The 19,863-nt window shown below is 37.9% G+C and overlaps 1 long non-coding RNA gene across 1 annotated transcript in view, besides 1 other annotated feature; it reads right to left on the bottom strand.

Moving 5' to 3' along the window:
• LOC124900255 (uncharacterized) overlaps window positions 1–1,226 on the bottom strand; it is a 30,869-nt gene extending 29,643 nt beyond the window's left edge. The window contains exon 1 of the long non-coding RNA XR_007061190.1: window positions 1,153–1,226. This is a non-coding gene — a long non-coding RNA (uncharacterized LOC124900255). The remainder of the gene's footprint in view (window positions 1–1,152) is intronic.
• Window positions 2,823–2,872: a silencer, noted in NCBI's record as "silent region_19570". NCBI's record gives its function as "represses an Ori minimal core promoter by ATAC-STARR-seq in GM12878 lymphoblastoid cells {active_cell/tissue: GM12878}" and the evidence as "EXISTENCE:reporter gene assay evidence [ECO:0000049][PMID:35858748]".

The raw sequence follows: 19,863 nt of genomic DNA, 5'->3' as shown, positions 1-19,863 counted from the left end.
TTCTCCAAGGTGGATTGTTTTGTGGTGCCAGTTTTCCTAAGGAAGGACAGGTGAGGACCTGGTTAAACATGGGCAGGGCTCCTAGTTTTCCTTCATCCTGGTCGTCAGGGGAAGAGTGTCATCACCAAGGACTCATCCTATTGGTATCTTACTGAAAAACAGTGCTTTAGTATTCTGGCAAACTGGCAATGTCTAAGTAGACAGACATGATGTTTAAAATCTTTTCAGAATAAAATATTTCCACTTTAGAACAGTGCTATTTAAGAGAATATATAAATATTTCTGTGAGCCATGTTGGGGCTAAGAGACACTACCTCAAAATGTGGCACAGTAGATGTCATTCTCTGACCTTCTCCCACCCTTCTTTTTGAGAGCTCGCCATGAAGGAATTACCTGACCTTCCTCCCCTGAAAGCTGGTCATAAGACCATAAGACTTTCACGTGAAACATTCCCCCCCTATACCCAGAGGGAAGGAATAAAGACACAGGCCAATAAAAACCTGAAAACAACAAGCCTTGCTGACTTCCCTCGGTTTATTATTGTTAGACCGCACCCTTTTATTCAATCATGCTTATAAACAGCTGTCTATTCTTCATCAAACCTAAGAATAAAAATAAGTTTTTCATGTGTCATTAGGTCTTCATTTCTGAAGGCTTCTGTGTCACCTAAAACTTTGCTTAAATAAATGTGTTATGTTTTTCTCCTGTTAATTCATCTTCAGTTATAGGAGTGTCAGCCATGAACCTTGAGATGAGTGAAAAAAAGGTATTATTTTTCTCTCCTATAGCCATATAAATAATTTTAAATTTTCTAACAGCCATATTTTTAAAAAGTAAAAAAAAAAAAAAGTAAATTTTCACTAGCATATTGTATTTAACTCAAAGTATCCATATATTAAATGTTACGGAAACAGGTCAGGGTCACCAGTCTCATTGTCTAAGATGTTATCCAAACTCGTCAACTCATGACCAAGAGAATTAAGGAGGGTGGACACAAAGGGTGAGGTTTGAGAGAAAGTTTAATAAGCAAAAGGAAAAAGCTCTTCACAGTGGAGAGGGGAGCCCAACTGGGTGCCATTTTTACCCTGGAATTCAAAAGCTTTTATAAGAAACTCCTTTCATCTCTGTAGCTGTTAGAGTAATTTCTCTTACCTGAAAAGCTGTCTGCACAACTCCCCCTTATCTATGTGGTTGTGAGTATGTCGCTAGGCAAGCACGGAGTGCCACTTCTCTTGTTTGTATAACTGTGCATTTGTTTTAGGTAACCCCCCCTCCTCGCATGCAAGTTCCCATGGAGCCCATTGTGTACATGTTTGAAAAGGGAAGGAAACTTTTTCCTGGAAGCCTGCTAATCAAACAAAGAACAAGAGGCTTCTGTGCTGGACTCTGCCTGTTTATCTGTGCAAGTGCAGCCTGAGTTTTTCCTCAGTGTGTATTTTATACTTAACACATCTCCCTTGGACTAGCCACAGTTGAAATTGTCAATGTCCATATGTGTCAACCAGATTAAAGAGCACAACTCTAGAACTTTATAATCTGGTCACTACAGAAGAATAGAGCAGTTCTAATGTAAAACACTAATTTAGCATTATTTTTCCAAAGCAGTAAGCACAACCGTGGCATATTCCCACTTTGATCTCATGTTAAGAATTAAATCTTTTTCACACTTTAATAATGATAATAAGGTGAGCATTATGGAAAGTGTATTTCCAAACTCACGTATGAACACTGAGAGAGTATAACCTCGTCAAATGTTAATGAAAATCTGGGTTTAGAAGTCACCAATCTATCTAGTGTGACTGTCTTGATCCTATTCTGACAGCCACAAGTATAAAGGAAACTGATGACCAGTTGATGGAAAAACTAAGAAAATAAAGATCATGCATAATTATTAGCTCCTCCTTCCTTTAGCCTCCCTTTGGTGTCTCCACCCTCTAGTGTTGGAATTACTCATAGGTTCCACTGACACTTTAAAGCCAGCTATAGTTTTCTCTAAGTCTGTAATACTGTGATAATGCATAATATCTAGCAATATTCTGGTAATCTTCCCAATACCATCTGTTAGTCTCTGCCTCTGACTAGGTTTTGTATACTAGCATTAAACTGTTGAATAAAATATGATATTATTATTATTTTCATTGTTATGATTATAACAGTCATTATTATTATTAGGTATAGTAACTCAATGATGCTGACATAATTTGGAAGAAGTGTCTTTCGCACAAACTCTACATTGTTGTAGGAATCATTTTCCTGTTCTCTTGCTGATTTTCCAAATACAGCCTGGAATCTTTCACTCCATGCTTGGCCCATCAGGTGGTCTCTCCTCTTGCTAACTGATGAGATTTGGGTGTGTAGACATATAATATCTTTCCTTTGTATCCCAAGTTTTGAAAACAAGTGAGAGATATGGATATCTATTATCAGCTTTATTATTCTCTAACATCAGTTTTTTTCTTCAATATTTGACCAGTTCCTCAACCCTCTCCACCCAGTCTCAGGCAGAGCTGACACTGGTGTCAGCCAATGAAGGCAGACTGCTTGCCACGTGACAGACAGAGCAAGCCTGCCCTGCCCCCTTCATGGAAGAAAGAGAGAGAACCCACCAGGGACTGAGCTGCAATTGTATGGTTCTTTGTCCCAGTGTCACTTGGCAGATGAATCCTGTTTTTCTTCCCAAGAAGTAGAAGTTTTTTGCTCTTGAGGGAAATGTGAGAAGTGTAGTATACATTTTTCCTGCAAAATCAATAACTGCCTGAGTTCCCCACCTCCCACTTCATGTTCTGGCAATTTTAGGCAGCTTCCAGCCACCCCAACACCCTCCCTTCTGTGGATGCTCAAGCTGTTCTCTCTGCCTCTTTCTGATTCACCTAGCTCAGTGGTTCTCTCAGTGGTTTTGCACCAGCCCACATCTCAGAGGGCTTACATGACTCATGTGTATTTCTCACCAAGCTCCACATTTAGAATGAGATGGTGGGGGTGAGGGTGAGTACAAGGCTGGGCCTGAAGGCCTTTACTATCCCTGCATCAGGAGAAATAATTCGATTCAATCACACACTCACTTTTAAGATTTCTGCATGCAAGAGATAAGCTCCACTTCTGTTCAAATCTCATTAATCAAAGGAAGTCACATGGCTATACCCAATATTTAAGGGAGGAGAAGTTCATTACATCATGTGCCCAGAAGGAGCAGAAACCTGGACACATCTGGTGCACAGACTTAATGACAATCATAGGTGGCAAAGGGGAAAATCATGTTCCAACACCTGCTATCCATCTGTTTAATGGTTAAGGGAAACAGCATGAGGCAACAGAGTAAAGAGTGAGATTGGGTCCACATCAGGTCCTCTTTCTGTCAGACATCTCAAGGAGTGAGTTATTTAACTGATAGCTTCCCAATCTCAAGTTTCATTTGAGATAATAGGGTGATGGCTAATGGAACAAGTTTTGGTCTTTCAGGATAAATTTACCTACCTATCTTTGATTCCTGTTCACTGGTGGTGAAGCCTTATATTACAGACTGAATTATGCCTCCCACAATAATTCATAATTGAAGCCCTAATCCACAAGATGATGGTATTTAGAGATGGGATTGCTGGGAGATTGCTATGTTTAGTTGAAGTCATGAGGACAGGTCCCTCATGATTGGGTTAGTGTCCTGAGAAGAAGAGGAAGAGACAGCAGGTGCTCCATTCACATAGTGTCCTGAGAAGAGATGAAGAGACAGCAAGTGCTCCGTTCACATGGGGACAGAGAAGATGACTGTCTACAGGCAAGGAAGAGAGCTCTTACTAGGAAACTGAATCTATGGGCACCTTGATCTTAGATTTTCAACACTCAGAAACTGTGAGGATAATTTCCTGTTGTTTGAGTCACTTAGTTTGTGGTATTTTGTTATGGCAGCCTGAGATAAGTGTTAAAGCAAACTCAGAGGCCTGAGAAGGACTCTGTACTCTATATTTGAGTTATTGCAGACGAACTGTAACCTAGCTTAATAGGCAGACAAGATTGAAAATCTAACTTAAGAGTATATGCCTGTAACTGAGTGTTGGCCACTCCCAGAAGCCATATTTCAACCACTCACAGACTGCTAATTGTTCAAACTCTGTTGAAATAAGGCAAAAGCTGAGCTGTAACCAATCCAGCTGTTTCTGTACCTCACTTCCTATTTCTGTACGTCACTTACCTTTATTTTGTCTGTAAATTTGTTCTGAGCATGATGCATCCCTGGAGTCTGAATCTGCTGTGATCCTGGGGGCTGCCCAGATTTGTGAATCATTCATTGCTCAATTAAACTCCTTTAAATTTAATTCAGCTGAGGTTTTTCTTTTAACATGACTAATACACCTTATATACATCTCTGCCCTTCTCTGATTCTCAGCTCCATCATTTGCGACATGGACATCGTCCTTTCCACCCACCTTCCTCAAAGCATTTTAGGGAGGAACTGAGTAAAAAAGGAAATCATGTCATTAAAATGGCTTTGTGACCTATACAAAAGTTAAAGTGAGTAGACAGCCTGCCTGTCATTGTGTTTCAGAGCCTCTTGTTTTTCTTTCTTTTTCTTTTTCTTTCTTTTTTTGCTTTTTGACATGGAATTTCACTCTTGTTGCTCAGGCTGGAGTGCAGTGGTGCAACCTCAGTTCACTGCAATCTCCGCCTCCCATGTTCAAGCGATTCTCCCACCTCAGCCTCCTGAGTAGCTGGGATTACAGGTGCCCGCCACCACTCCTGGCTAATTTTTTGTATTTAGTAAAAATGGAGTTTCACCATGCTGGTCAGGCTGGCCTCGAACTCCCAACCTCAGGTGATCCACCTGCCTCGACCTTCTAAAGTGGTAGGATTACAGACATGAGACCATCGCGCCTGGCCTCTTGTTTTTCATTTGATATAGTTTGGTTCTGTGTCCCCACCCAAATCTCATGTTGAATTATAATCTTTAGTGTTGGAGGTGGGGTTTGGTGGGAGATGATTGAATCAGAGGGGCAGTTTCTAATGATTCAGCACCATCCCCTTAGTGCTGTCTCAGGATAGAGCTCTCACAAGATCCGGTTGTCTAAAAGTGTGTAGCGCTGCCTCCTTCCATCGCTTCCTTCTGCCCCAGGCATGTGGGATGTGCCTGCTTTCCCTTTGCCTTCACTATGTTTGAAAGTTTCCTGAGGCATCCCCAGCCATGCTTCCTACACAGCCTGCAGAACCGTGAGCCGATTAAAACTCTTTTCTTTATAAATTACCCGGGCTCAGGTAGTTCATTATAGCAATATGAGAATGGAATAATACATCATCTATGGAATTTCCTTCTTCCCAGCCTTGACCAGCTTCTTGGTCCACAGTCACATTTTATTAAGGAGTGCTGGTTACAGTAGGGTAACATGATCAGTGATCATGTCATAGGTTAAGGAGCTGCAGTAACACAAGTGAAAAGCATTCTTGCCAAGTTTTGTTGTTTAAACTGAATTAGCATCCTCTGGGAAGCAGAAACACAGCAGAGATTCCACAAAGGCCATCCATCAGTGGAGACTATCAGTAGACCCGGGTGAGAAGCAGCCCTGCACTGATAACCTTGTGTGATCTTGGCCAAATCACTTAGCATCTCTGAACTTTGGTGGTAAAAGCTGCTAAATTGAATTAATAGGAGCTCTTATCTTACAAGTCCATTGTAAGGAAAAAAGAAACAAAAGTTCAAAGGATTCATTTGTTTGTATGGGGAAGCCCAGGAACAATGTTGTATTGGGAAGAAGGGGAGAAGTAAGCAGGAGTCCAGGCCCTGAAGAAAGCTCCCAAGCCCATGTCAGTAGATGCATGACTGAGGCTGGGGTTTCACCCCTTATCAATGCATCATGCAATCACTTCCTTTAACATTATGAATTTTTCGGGTGCTGGAAATACAATATTCAAAATAGAAATGGCCCTTGTCCTCCTGAGAAAAATGGAAACTAATCAAATAAATATATAGAATACCATGGAGGAAAATGAAGCCCGAGAAGGCAATGAGGAAAATGGCATAAATGATGTGTGAGATAGAGCCATGCCAGATCTGAGGTGCAAGCATTTTAAGCAAGGAAAGCAGTTACTGCAAGAGCCCTGAAAAGAAAGAATGTTTCTGAAAAAAGGCAAAAAATCTGGTGTGGCTGGAGCAGAATGACTGAGGGAATGGGGCTGGGAAAGAACGTGAAGGCAATCAGTTTCAAGTTTGTTGGCCTTGGACAGATTACAATTGACCTTGAAACAACCTGAATTTGAAGGGCGTGGGTCAAGTTATACATGTATTTTTTGCAATGAAATTTACACCAAGTGTGCTTGGCTCTCCTGCCTTCCCTTCCACCTCCTCCACCTCTTCCAACTCTGCAACACCTGGGACAGCAAGACCAACCCCTACTCTCCCTCCTCCTCAGCCTATTCAGTGGAAAGACAATGAGGATGAAGACCTTTATGATGATTCATTTCCACTTAATAAATAGTAAATCTATTTTCTCTTCCTTATGATTTTTTTTTTTTTGAGGAGTCTTGCTCTGTTGCCCAGGCTGGAGTGCAGTGGCGTGACCTTACTTCACTGCAACCTTCGCCTCCTGGGTTGAAGTGATTCTCCTGCCTCAGCCTCTGGAGTAGCTGGGATTACAGGTGCCCGCCACCACGCTCGGCTAATTTTTTGTATTTTTAGTAGAAACGGGGTTTCACCATGTTGGCCAAGCTGGTCTTGAACTCCTGACCTCAGGAGATCCGCCCTCCTTGGCCTTCCAAAGCCTGATGATATTCTTAATAACATTTTCTTTTCTCTAGCTTAATTATTGTAAGAATACAGTATGTAATACATATAACATAAAAAAAACTTAACTATTTATGCTATCAGTAAGTCTTCCAGTCAATGGTAGGCTATTAGTAGCTGAGTTTTTGGGAAGTCAAGCTATATGTGGATTCTTGACTACACAGGGGTTTGGTGCCCCTAACTCACATGTTTTATAAGGGCCAATGTATTACATGGTTTAAATGTATTTCTGCTGAACCTCATATGTCATATGTGGTGGGTAGAGTTTTGTCACTATTACATAAAATACCATATTTGAAAGCACACCATGTCCTGAAATCATAAGACATCTTTTAAAAGGTAAGAAATCAGCCAGGCATGGCATGGCTCCTGTACCAGTTCCATTCTTTCCCAGCTGAATAACCCACCAGCTTCCCTGCTTCCATCACCACTTGAAGTCCCTGAAACCTACTGCAAGGATCATGCACAGTCCCTGATTCAACCCAGACTTCTGCCTTAATTCTTGAATGAAATAATAGCTACAAAGCTTTTAGAAGAGTACCAAGTACACTGATGTTAGCCACTGTTGTGTGTGCGTGTGTGTGTGTGTGTGTGTACGTGTGTGTGTGTGTGTTTTTCTCCCCCATTGCCTTCGTGAGCTGGTCAGCATAACACTGAACAAAATCTTTAAGGTCCCCTCTTTGGATACCTGTCCCTAGAACAATGAGCAAGGACTGAGCTAAATGTCTTTTTGGGTTCTTCTCCTCGGTGTGGCCAACAAACAGAAAGGAAGAAGGCATTCATAAAGTAGTTCCGATTATGAAAGATGAGAACTTCAAGGAAGTAGTTTCCATGGAGCCCCCAAATATCTCAGTGTTGAGAAAAATCTGTTTTCTAAGTTAAGAATGAACAGTAGATAAGGTTGTTGGGTAAAGGTTGGTGTGTTAGTCTCTGAGGGCTGCCTTAACTAAATCCCACAGACTCAGTGGCTTAAACAATGGAAACTTATTTTCTCACAGCCCTAGAGGCTGGACGTCTAAGACCAAGATGTTTGCTGAGAGATCTTTCTTTCTGACTTGCATTTGGCAGCTTTCTGACAAGTTCTCACATGGCCTTTCCTTTGTGCATTCACAGAGAGAGGGAATGGAGGAAGAGAGAGGGGGATCTCTGATGTCTCTTCCTCTTCCTATGATGACACAAGGCCTATCAGCTTAGGGCCCCACTAATATGACCTTATTTAATCTTAATTACCCCCTTAAAGGCCCTATCCCCAAATACAGTTAACATTGGGGTTCAGAACTGTAACATGTGAATGCTGGGGTAACACAATTCGGTCTATAACAGCTGGTCAGCATAGATAGATAGATAGATGATGATAGGTGATAGATAGATGATAGACAGATAGATAAACATGCATACATATAGCTAGCCATCAAACTGTTAGTCTTCTGCATAATTGGTTTTTGACCTAAGAGCAAACTGAATTTTCTCTTCCAGCAACAACATTCACCAAAAAAAGAAATGTTATTATACCAACACATGAATGTTCACCATCAGTATATATTTTTTATATATTTGAAAGTACATTTTATGACAGTAAGAAAAAGGATAATTTACTTCTGTTTTAACAATTAATATTTAATGCATTTAATGTTACAAAGTCAAAATTTTGTTCTTCTTGTGCTTTTACATTTAATTTAAAAATCATCTTATTTTTTATTAGTACATCCAGAAAAATATTTAAAAGCTCATAAGTAACCCTTCCAACTTAAGGTCCATTAACTGCTTTAAAATTTATTTATAAATTTAATGTGTTTATTTTTACTTTTAAGTACTCCAATTTTCTAATAAGCTAAGTTTCCCAGATACTTAACCACTTTTTATAAATTTAATAGATCAAAATTACAAGTATCTTGTTATACTTTTCACAGATATAGTAAAATTGTCTTAAACTATTCAAATTAGAATGACAAGCAAAATCAAATTTTCTAATCCACATTTTAAATTGGAATCAAATTAATCTGTTATATACTCTAGGATGTCAAATTATACTTTAACATGCCAAAGTCTTATAAGTTATGAGTAATTAAAATGTCAAATAAGCTCAGGTTATTTCCAAACTTAACACAAAAATATTAACACTATGAGTTATAATTTGCTTCATCATGTTCAGAATTAAGTCTAGAATTTCCTGTGGTTAAACTACTCACTCATGCACCAATTTATTCATACAACCTTCAGAGCCTGCCATATGCCAGGCACCATCTGAGACGCTCGATCTAAAACAGCAGGGAAAAAAAGACCAGTATCCCCAACCTCATGAAACTTAAATGCAAGGGGAATGCAAAGCAGAAAGACCAACAAAGAACTACAAATTAAATCATGTGGCATGTCAGATGGAGATTACCATGAACAAAAGAACACTGGATAGGGAGTTCCTGAGTTATTACGGTGGCACTTTTACTTAGCACAGTCAGGAAAGAGCTCCTGTAAATGGTGACAATTGAGGAAACACCTGGAGGAGGTAAAGAAGTCAGCCCATGGATATCTGGGTCAGAAGCACTCCAGGCAGAGGGATGAGCAAACACAGACACCCTGAGAAAGGAATGCAGCTGGCATGGTGGAGGAGTAGCCCAAAGGCCAATGTGAGTGTGGCCCAAGCAGGGAGAATGAAGAGACAACAGGTAGGGGATGAGGTCAGAGAGAGAATGAGGTCTAGGCTGGCTGGGGTTTTCCTGAGCATTTATTCTCAATGAGAAGGGAACTCAGTGAAATGCATTGAGCATGGGAACGACATGAAGTGTCATGACGTGATATGAGGTTGGCAGAAAGACTCTAGCAGCTGTTAGGTGAGACTGTGTGTAGAGAGATGGGGAACGCAAGGGCAGAAGCCAGAAGGCCCGTCAGAGGATCCTGCACATCCCAGATGAAAGGCGATGGGCATTTTGACCAGGCTAGAAAGAGTAGAGGTGATGAGCAGTGGGATGTATTAGAAAGGAGACCCAAGGAATTGACTTCAAATTCCAGTTCATTAGTGAAAGGTGTTTGGTCTGAGCCACTGGCAGAATGAAATAAAGAAGACTATAACAGAAGCCAGTTTAAGGGAAAGCAGGGAATTCAGTTTGGGCCATAAGTTTAGGAACTAAATTAAATATCATGTGGAGATATAACTTTGGGGTTAGATTTGTGAGCCCGGACAAAAACAAAACAAAAATGTTCGGTATTCAGCAAACTTGAGATTACCTATTTACCAAGCAAATTGGGGTTTCATATTAACCAGAAATTTTCACAGGGATGTAAGAATTAGAGCTATAAGTAGTAGGAGTGATTTTTTTTCTTACCCTCTTTATATGGAGAAATGTGGAAAAGATCTCTAAGGCCGTGATCTCCAAATGATGTCTAATAGCTCACATCCCTGGGATTCAAGTTTTAGCTAATCTAGTTATTAAGCCAGTGATTTTTGTTGTTATTGTTGTTACAGTTTTTAACAATTTAATAGGATACAACTTGTGCATTTATTGTCTGATCTATCCTGAATCTGTTTTACATTCTTCCTGTCTGACAGGGCTATGATTCTCACTGATATTTATTTGATTGGGTTCTATATCCACTTCTTGCTCTTTTTGAATTTAAGTTCCTACCTCTCAATGTCCAGTAAAACTTTTCATCAGCATTTCTTTTTCTTTTGTTTTGTTTTGATTTTGGAGGTAAGCTCTGCCCTCTCCAGGCTCCTGTTTGAATATACAAATATTGTGGGAAGGAGAAATACATTAAGATCAATCATACTTTACTTTTTCTCAATCTGAGAGTTAAGGTGGCAAGAAATCCTTTTGGCTTTTCAAAAAGTGAACAGAAGTGTTCCATGTGAAGAATTAGGGTATCCAAAGAACAACTTTGCCTGATTAATTGTGGTGCTGTCAGCCGGATCAGAAAAGCAAACTTTTCCAGGCTATGACATAGTAGGGACATATATCTTCTCTTAGAGCTCAGTTACCCAAAAGCCTCCACTGTGATCAACATTCTTGAAAAGGAAAAAAAAAAAATGCTTTCTGGAGAGTCCAGTTAGCTTTGTGTAAATCCATATGGCAAAGGTGTGTGCTTTACTTGAAATAATTCCCCACCTTCCCAAACCACTATAAGATGGTCTTTACACAAGTTTAACCAATGCTTGGTTATGAGAAGAAAGAGATCAGCTGTTACCGGAAGAGCTATTGGAAGCTGGCGGTCAAATGTGAGCAATGTGAGCAGAGGCAGAAAGTGTGAAATTTACACACAGACTTAGCCATCTAGAATCACAATAAAATAACATGAATTTCTCAAGTAAACACAAATTTATTAAGAAGAGCCAAAGGCATTTAGTATCGTTTAGGTAAGAAAGCAGAAACAGGTTTATAATATGTATATGCTAAACACAAATCTAGTAAAAATGGCTGAATGACAAATTTTAGCACTGAAATAAGTACATTTTCAATGATATGGAAAATATTTTCTGAGAATTCCAAATAACTGAAGATTTGCTATAGAATAATACATTATTGTCTCTAAAAGGATGCATCAAATGCATTTTCTTACAGTGCAAACAGGTCTAAGAAGGTTAGATGGTGTTTTCAAGATTACATAGCATGTTAATGTAACAACCTGAATTAAAATTGAATACGACAAAAATATCCAGGATTGAGATTTATTCAATCACGCTTTGGGTTAAGATTTAACTTTCTATTTTTTTTTAACCACAATCTGATTGTAATATGATTCTTTATAAGTAACTTAAAATGACATTTACCATTTTCTGTACTTCATAAAATGCTTTATTTTTCTTTGTTTGTGATCATCTGGATGTTTTTTCTTTCAAGGACCATATGCCCTTAAGCCAGTTTTAACTTGGCTATTTTTACTACATCTTTAGTTTTCTCTAATTAACCAGATTGCTTTCTTTTCATTTTTCCTGTTAAGTCCTAATTTTGAAAAGCATTCCGTATGCAGCTTAGTGCATTTCTCCATTAAGTAAATCTGCCTTCTTTATTGGTTGGCTGTACTATGTTCGCTCCAATTTCTCTTGTATCAAGTAAAGAGCTTAAAAACTATTAAAAACATGATGCACTATGTGTCTTTATGGGCATGTATTTTGTTTCATTTACATTCCCTTTCCTTTATTCTTATTATAAACTTTTCAGACCTACAGATAAATGTAGGTATTCAAAAGATTGAAAAAATAAAATAATATAGCACTATATAGGGTCCTTGTGGTCTAATTTCTACATCAAAATTTTTTCATGAAGATATCATATTGGTGAGTGGAATATTTACAATCTACAAATACAACATTTTTTCAAAGATACTGTTTCGTTTCATTTTAGGTGATATCTTTCCAGAACATTTACATGTTTCATCTTACGATAAACTAATGAAAGAGACATCATTAATATAACCAGGAAGTTCAAGCACCACACACTACATGGCAGTACTGAGGGCAAGCTACACATCTCATTTCCTCTTCCCCGAAAGTATTCCATTTTTCCCCGGTTCTGTATGTGGACTGGTGGTCAAATCTGTCTCAAGCGTGTTTGGAAGACTGTCACTACGCTAACAACAATAACATCAGAAATCAAGGATCAACAGAGAAAGCAATATTTTCAGTGGATATTATCTAACTACTGAAAAGTTCATCACTTAATAAAATAGATATTTTTTCTCATTTTAAACATTTGTAATGTATGTATTCCAGAAATACATCAATCATTTCTGTGTATTCTTTTAATAAATTGCACATGCTGTAACCTTTCCATGATGCCTCGAGATCACAATCACGCATTGTAATTACCAAGTTATTCTGTCTAACCCGTATATCATCTGTGGCTTCTTTACACTGAAGCTGGAGATGAGGTCTGCTTGAACCTATATTCTATACCTTATGTGAGGTTTAATGTTTGTCTTAATTTTTGTCTTGGCTGCTATAATAAAAATACCATAGACTGGGTAGCTTAAAAACAAACATTTATTTCTCACAGGTCTGGAATCTGGGGATTCCAAGATCAAGGCACCAGCCTTGGTGTCCGGTGAAGATCTGCTTTCTGGTTTACAGATGGTGCCTTGTTTCAATGTCCTCACGTGGTGGAAGTTATGAGGGAGCTCTCCGAGATCTCTTTTTTAAAAGCACTAATCCCATCCATGAGGAATCTACCCTCCTATCCAAATTACCTCTTAAAGGCCCCCCTCCAAATACCATCCCCTTAAGGGTTAGGATTTCAACATATGAATTTGGGGGAACATAAACAATGTATAGCAATGTTCCAACCAAAATGTATGCAGACCCAGAGCATCAGTGTTCACCCTCAGCTGGGTTGTCTTCCCATGTGATTGTCTTCTATCCGCTGTAATCCTGCTCATTCTTCTTCCCAGGCATTTCAAACAAAGAGGGGAGGGGACTGCATTGAGTTTCAGTGCAGGAGTTTAGGAGAGCTGGGTTCTCAGCATAATCAAGAGAGTAGAGTGATTCTGCATTTGGTTATGAGTAGCAGAGGGATGAAGGTATCTAAATCATTTCTACCACATTAGCACTTACTAAAGCAGGGGAAAATTGTTTATCTTCTATCTATAAGCCCCATGAAGGTAGGGGCCTGATCCATTTTTTTTGATTCCTGACTTCAGAACTGCCTGATACCCACAAGGGACTAACGACTGAGTGAATGAAGGGAAGAATGAATAAGTAATCAACAGACAGGATCTACCTCAACTGCTTTACTTGTACCCACTCAATCATCACAGCAATACCATAAGGTAAATGCTACTTCTCCCAGTTTTCAGATAAGAAACAGAAGTCCAAGCATTTCAAGTAACTTGCTCAAGAAAATTTACGTATCCAGGACTCAAACCCAGGCAATTTAATCCTGAAGTCCTGCTTACCCTTATCATTACATGTGATTGTCCCTTCTGTCAATTTATCTCTGTGTTGGCATTAACTCAGACACCTTGGACATGGCTCAGTCTCGATCCTTATGCACTGAACTCCCAACACTAAACACACACACAGACACACACACACACAGACACAAGCATGCACTCACACATGCAGAGTAGCTTTACTCAGTTTGTCCTGTTTTAAATGTATGTGTATATACATATACAAATTATACTTCTGTGTTCTTAGTTCATATATATATATATATTTCTTTTCTCTATTATAGTTAGTTACTCTAATTTTTAGGGTCTCCATATTTTATAATTCTAATGACATTCTATCTAATGAGAGAAACAGCTTTGTACTAAATATACATAGATTCTTCTGTCATTAAATAATATATTTCATTTTGTGAGTTTGATAGTTTCTGCGTTTTTCTCATCACTGTCAGATTGTCAATGCCAGTTTATCATTTCAAACATAAGTGTAGTCTTAAATTAGTGATGAAATTTAAAATATTCATGTGCTAGTATTTGTGGATTGTACCATTTTCCAGTTTAGCAAAGATAACCTTTCTATTATCGGCTTGTTTTTCTCCAGTTTTTTTTTTACATTACGCGTCTGTTTCTATGCTCTATGATTTCCAGAATTTTTTATGATGCAGAATTTGGTTTATGGCAGAGAAGGGGCAAGATCAGATATCTAGTTTTAATTATGCTATTATTTGCATATTCATGTGTTTTGTCTTTTTGTTTTGTCTTTTATTCCTATGAGCATAGAGATACTTCTGTTTTTGTTGGTTGTTCTACTCCCTATGCCTAGAATAGTGCCCAGCACATAGAAATCATTTAATAATAAAAAAGTATATTCTTCAACTCAATTTATATAAAACAATTACATGCATTCTGTTTCCTAACTATGAGCATGGTGAAATTTAATTTGCCCAGAGAAGGAAACCAAGGTAGCAGAATGACCTATTATTTATTCTGTGCCACTTAAACTTCAAACACTGTGTTAGGCATATTATAGCTGTATATAATGTATAATTTAATTCTAATAACTGTCCGATAATGTTATAACACTTAGAACTAAGGAAACATTAGCTTAGATGTATTAGGTATTCTCATAGATTGTAAATGGCAGAATAGAGTCAGAATACCAAATCATTTTTCCTGATTTGTAAAGGTTTTTCATTCTGATGTTTCCAATGTGATTACCGTAACAATTCCACAACAACATGTATCAGTTTTCTGACAGAGACTTTGACCAGGGGAGAAGAAATAACCTGTCCAGCATGACATAGCTGGTAAATACTTGAACTTGGCCCCAATGAAGACCTGTAATGGTAACCTTGAGTCTTGTCCCTCAAAGTGTAGCATATTATCTGTATTAGCATCATACGGTAGCTTCCTGGAAATACCATGTCTGAAGCCCCACCCTTCGAGACTGGGAGACTTCCTAGTAATTTGTCTCTCAAGAACCAAATGAGGTGTCTGCATGGTAAGGATACAAATCAGGATGGCAGGTAAGTGGGACCATATACCACAAGAATCCCAAGGTAACACATCTGCCCCAGACCCATTTACTACAGTAAGTTGTGCTGATTCCTTAGAACATTACACATCTAATCTTCTGAGACCCAACACATTTGAATTTAAGGCAGGGAGAATCCTGGCATACAGTTTCAAGACAAGGCACAATTTATTACAGGAATCATAATTTCTTCTCCATCTAAAGTGAGATAAAAAGCTGATGGAAGATGCTCTTGGCACTCTGTTAATGGGTGCTAATTAAAGTCCTGCTTTGGGCAAAAGAAAACAGCTGAAGGAGGATTAACACAATAGAACCTCACAGATGGCTCCTGGAACAAGCAAGGTAGGCCAGAGAGGCTATGTGATTAAGACACAACATTATGGAACTTTTAGCAGCTGAAGCTGTTCTGTTCTCCTTATGTATACACAGTATGAAAGTAATTATTCATATGTAAATTGTGTGATTTTTTTTCTCTCTCTTCTTTAAAAAATGCTTATTCACTGTAAATGCAAACTCCAACAAGTAAATCCAACTGAACATTAGTCTGTGGCTCCTTTTTTTTTATTTTCTTCTCTTTTTTTCTGTTTCTAATGCCACCTCTTTTTAGATGTGGCTTTACAAATAAAAAGCACATAACATCTGGAACTGCTTAAAATCAATTTCTTTTCTCCTTTATTTTTCTGTTCTATAACTAAAAATGGACTTTCCAACTTGCATCATGCTTTTTTCCTCCCTTTCCTTTATAAAATAAATAAATGCATGCCATCTGGTCTAACAGCACAGTTGCCAATTATCAGCCCGAGGCAATCCAAAACTGCCAGATAGTCAATGCAGAAAATATGGTTTCAAGAAGAAATGCTAACAGAGCCTTTGCTGTAGTATGGCTTGGCACTACTCCAAATTACCGCCCCACGAAATACTGTCTTATCTCCTAGGGACTTGCAAGAAATCCTTACAATCTGCGTTCTGGTGTATTAGCACCTTGACTTACCTTAATGAAGATGTCTTGAAAACTCAACTGTTTGATAGTTAATGAAACATATTGACAGCTCAGAAAATCAGATCAGCATTCTTCTGATGGAGCTGTGGAGTTCTCAAGTGAATAAATTTTCAATTTGTTCATTTTACTGAGATCGCAGTAGCTTTTTGGTCATGGCCAGCAAGGAATAGAAGCCTTTCCCTGTTGTACTCAGCTGAGCTACGGCTACGGAATGCAATAGATATTATTAGTCACTGATCGTCTCATCAAGAAAAATCACTTGACCTATGTGACTTGAGTGCTAATTGGGTTGTTTTTTAAATTACAGCAATGGAAGGTTTGGAATCATCATAGAGACCTTACTCCTCTGCATTCTGTATATTTGAAATCCACTGAGTTCTAGAAATTCTACTGCTAATACTGTTATGCCATTTCAGTCTTCACCGCTACTATTCAGGTCCAACCTGGTAATATCCTATGCCTGCTTTCCATTCAAAACCTTCTACATGGTCTTTTATTGTCCATTCTTCCTTCATAGCCAGGAGGGTCTTCTGAAAATATGAGTCATACCATGTTATTCCTCTGCTTGAAATGAGGCACTGTTTTGTTCATTGCATTTAAGAATAAAATCCAAAATCTTTAAAAATGGGCTCAAGGATCTCTGCGATCTCATCTCTTGGACCGTTTTGATCTTTTCACTATTTCTCTCCTCAAACTGGTCTGTTGGATCTAAAAGACCAAACATGTCTGCTTTGTTCCTGTCCATCATTCCTTTTTGTAAATTTTACCTAAAAATAATTTTATTTGTGGAAAGTATAATACCTTTAAAACAACAGATATATGTATTCAACTGCAATTCAACGGATATGGATTGGGGTCTTACTTTGTTCAAGACAAGGTTCCTGGTTTTGATTCTGATTTTTTTTTTAATTTTTTAAAATGGGCACTTAAAAATCATGCATATTTGCCATTTGTGTAGTGATGTTGCCATACATATAATGTGTAGTGATGAAATCAGGGTAATTAGCATACACATCATCGCAAACATTTATTATTTCTTTGTATTGGAAACATTTAATATCTTTCTTGTAGCTATTTGAAACTATGTAATACATTATTGTTAATTATAGTCATTCTACAGTGCTATAGAAGACTAGAACTTATTTTTCCTATCTAGCTGCAATTTTGAATCCTTAAACAAATCTCTCCCTATCCCTTTCTTCCCCCTACACTTTTCAGCCTCAGTATCCTCTGTTCTACTGTTTTCTTCTATGAGATCAACATTTTTTAGCTTCTACATGTGAGTGAGAACATGCAATAGGCAACTGTCTGTAGTACACTCAAATGCTCTCTGAATTAATTCAGACTGAATGTTGATTCTATCACTTCCTACATTTGCAGTTTAGAAAAATATTCTGAAAAGTCTAAGCCTCAGTTTCCTTATCTACAAGATGAAATAATTACCCCTCAAAATTTTGCTGGGAGTACTAAAGAATATGCTTATAAAGCTCAGTCAGTTGGTTTCACAAGAATGTTATTGAATAAATTAATGTTAGACAAATATTTTAATGCTGGATCTTTCACTTACTATCTCCATGACTTTAGCCAAATCTTCTAGACTTTTTAAGTCTCCTTATCCTTGGACTGGGATAACAGTATTTTCAGAAGAGATTTCTTGTGAGCAATTAAATCATAAAATATGGGTAGAAGAAACTGGCAAATAGTAAGTGTTCAATAAATGGTGTAACCACCGTTTTACTATTATGGATTTGTACCATAAAAACAAAAATGGTGATTTCACTTTACGTCACTAGTTTCAGAGAATTTTACTCTTATATTTCCCCCGGCACCCTTTGTTGTACCCCTCACCTCAGTCTATTAAAGATACAAGGCTACATGTGAAAAGCCTGCACCACCATGTTATCGAAAACTTATTCAGGACCCTAGATTTATATCTCTCCAAATAATCCCTTTGCTACTCTCTCCCTGCTTTCGATTCCTATCCCGCCTCTCATTCCCCAGTTTCCTTGGTTCCAAACACATCGTATTCATATCTTGACCCTCCCCTGCTTCAAGCTCCTTAATCGGTGACCTGTGAAGTTTGCCACATCAATTTTGCCTTTCCTCTAAGATGTCTCTTTCCGATTACCTTTGACCTTTTGTTAAGTAACCCACATTTCCAGCCCTGTAACCGTCCCCTTCAGACACTGTTAGGTGTGCTATATGTGCTTTCCTAGCAGCTTCCCTCCATGCCAGCAGGCATCAGACCACACATATATTGTCCACTATGCTGTCTTCCTTTTGAGAATAAAGAACTGACCTAACTTGTTCACTCAGCACGGTGCCTGCTATGTGGTTTCTAAGTCAATAATGTGTTAAAAGAATGAAACCACAAGCTTGATATATCCCAATTTTATGTCCCCAAATACCTGTGCGAGACGTTCAGTTCTATCTGAGCCAGTCCTTCTTGCAGCTGATCAAATATATATTTGAACATTGAGAAAGAACTTCTACATGGGAAGGTTAGTATATACCCTACTTGCAACTTTTTAAAAAAGGGAGAGTGGGACTTACGTCACTTCTCAGAGCATCATTTCTTCATCTGAGTAACAGAGATGACAGTGGTAAGTACATAAAGTTGTGGGGATTAAAGCATTCATAAAGTATTTAACAGAGAAATGTGCATTAATTTTGTTCATCCCTCTGGTATTAAAGTGAAAAGAGAACATCTTACAAAAAGTTATAAAATATGCCAAAAACATTTTAAATTGACCATTGATATCCATATGCTTGTTTTATAATAGAATGAGGTTTGAGTTCCCGTCTTCCTTGAAGTGCTGCGAACAATCTGTATTGCATCCATATATCCAGGTGGAGATAAAGGATGGGAGAATATCCTTCCTGCCACTCACAGAGAATTGCTTTGAGCCTCAGGCATAAGACTTAATTATTCTTATTATCTCATTTTGCATAGATAAAAATGTTGTGATTGCTCATGAAATTAAGCAGCATCTTTTTCAATCTGTTGACATTGATTGACTTGATGTCTTAAAATAATATAAAGGATAAAATGAAAATATGAGAGAACTGCAATGGATTCCAGGCAGTAGTTTTTATAACGAGGAATTTTCAAATTTCAGGAGTTTAGACTACCACTTTGTATACAGTAAAATCAGTAAGAGAGTGATAATGATAGTTGGAAAACTTGTCATATGTTTGTTAAATTATTGGCTATCATAAATATTATGGCATTTAAAAAATTTCAAAACTAACCAAAACCTAAATTCTTTCTTTCTACAGGCAATAATGTTGGTATCCATTATTCATTGTGACATAATTGACTTTATCAATACAATGGCTTCCCATGAGGCAACTATACAAAGCACAGCATTATCTCATCCATTAACATATAACTGGAGAGAACATCTGTTAGGATTGTAGAAATTTTGAATGAAATAATTGGTGATACATTATTTGTCCCAACAGTATTCATGTGCATATTGCAACTTGAACTAACAAATTATATGTCTTCAATACATTTCGTGGAACTTCTTTATTGATAAAAGAGCACAAATTTAGTAACTATTCAAAAATTTGTATGTACCTAGTGTCTCCCAAAACATAGTTCTAGTGGCTGAGAATACACAGATGAATAAGTCATTTTTTAAAAAAAAACACTAACAATTATGAAGTTTATTCTTGGGCTAG

Source organism: Homo sapiens, chromosome 8 (genome assembly GCF_000001405.40).
Source record: "Homo sapiens chromosome 8, GRCh38.p14 Primary Assembly".
In the NCBI taxonomy this organism is placed as follows: Eukaryota; Metazoa; Chordata; class Mammalia; order Primates; family Hominidae; genus Homo; species Homo sapiens.
Note: the sequence above shows the minus strand (reverse complement) of the source record. Positions and strands in the feature narration are given on the sequence as shown.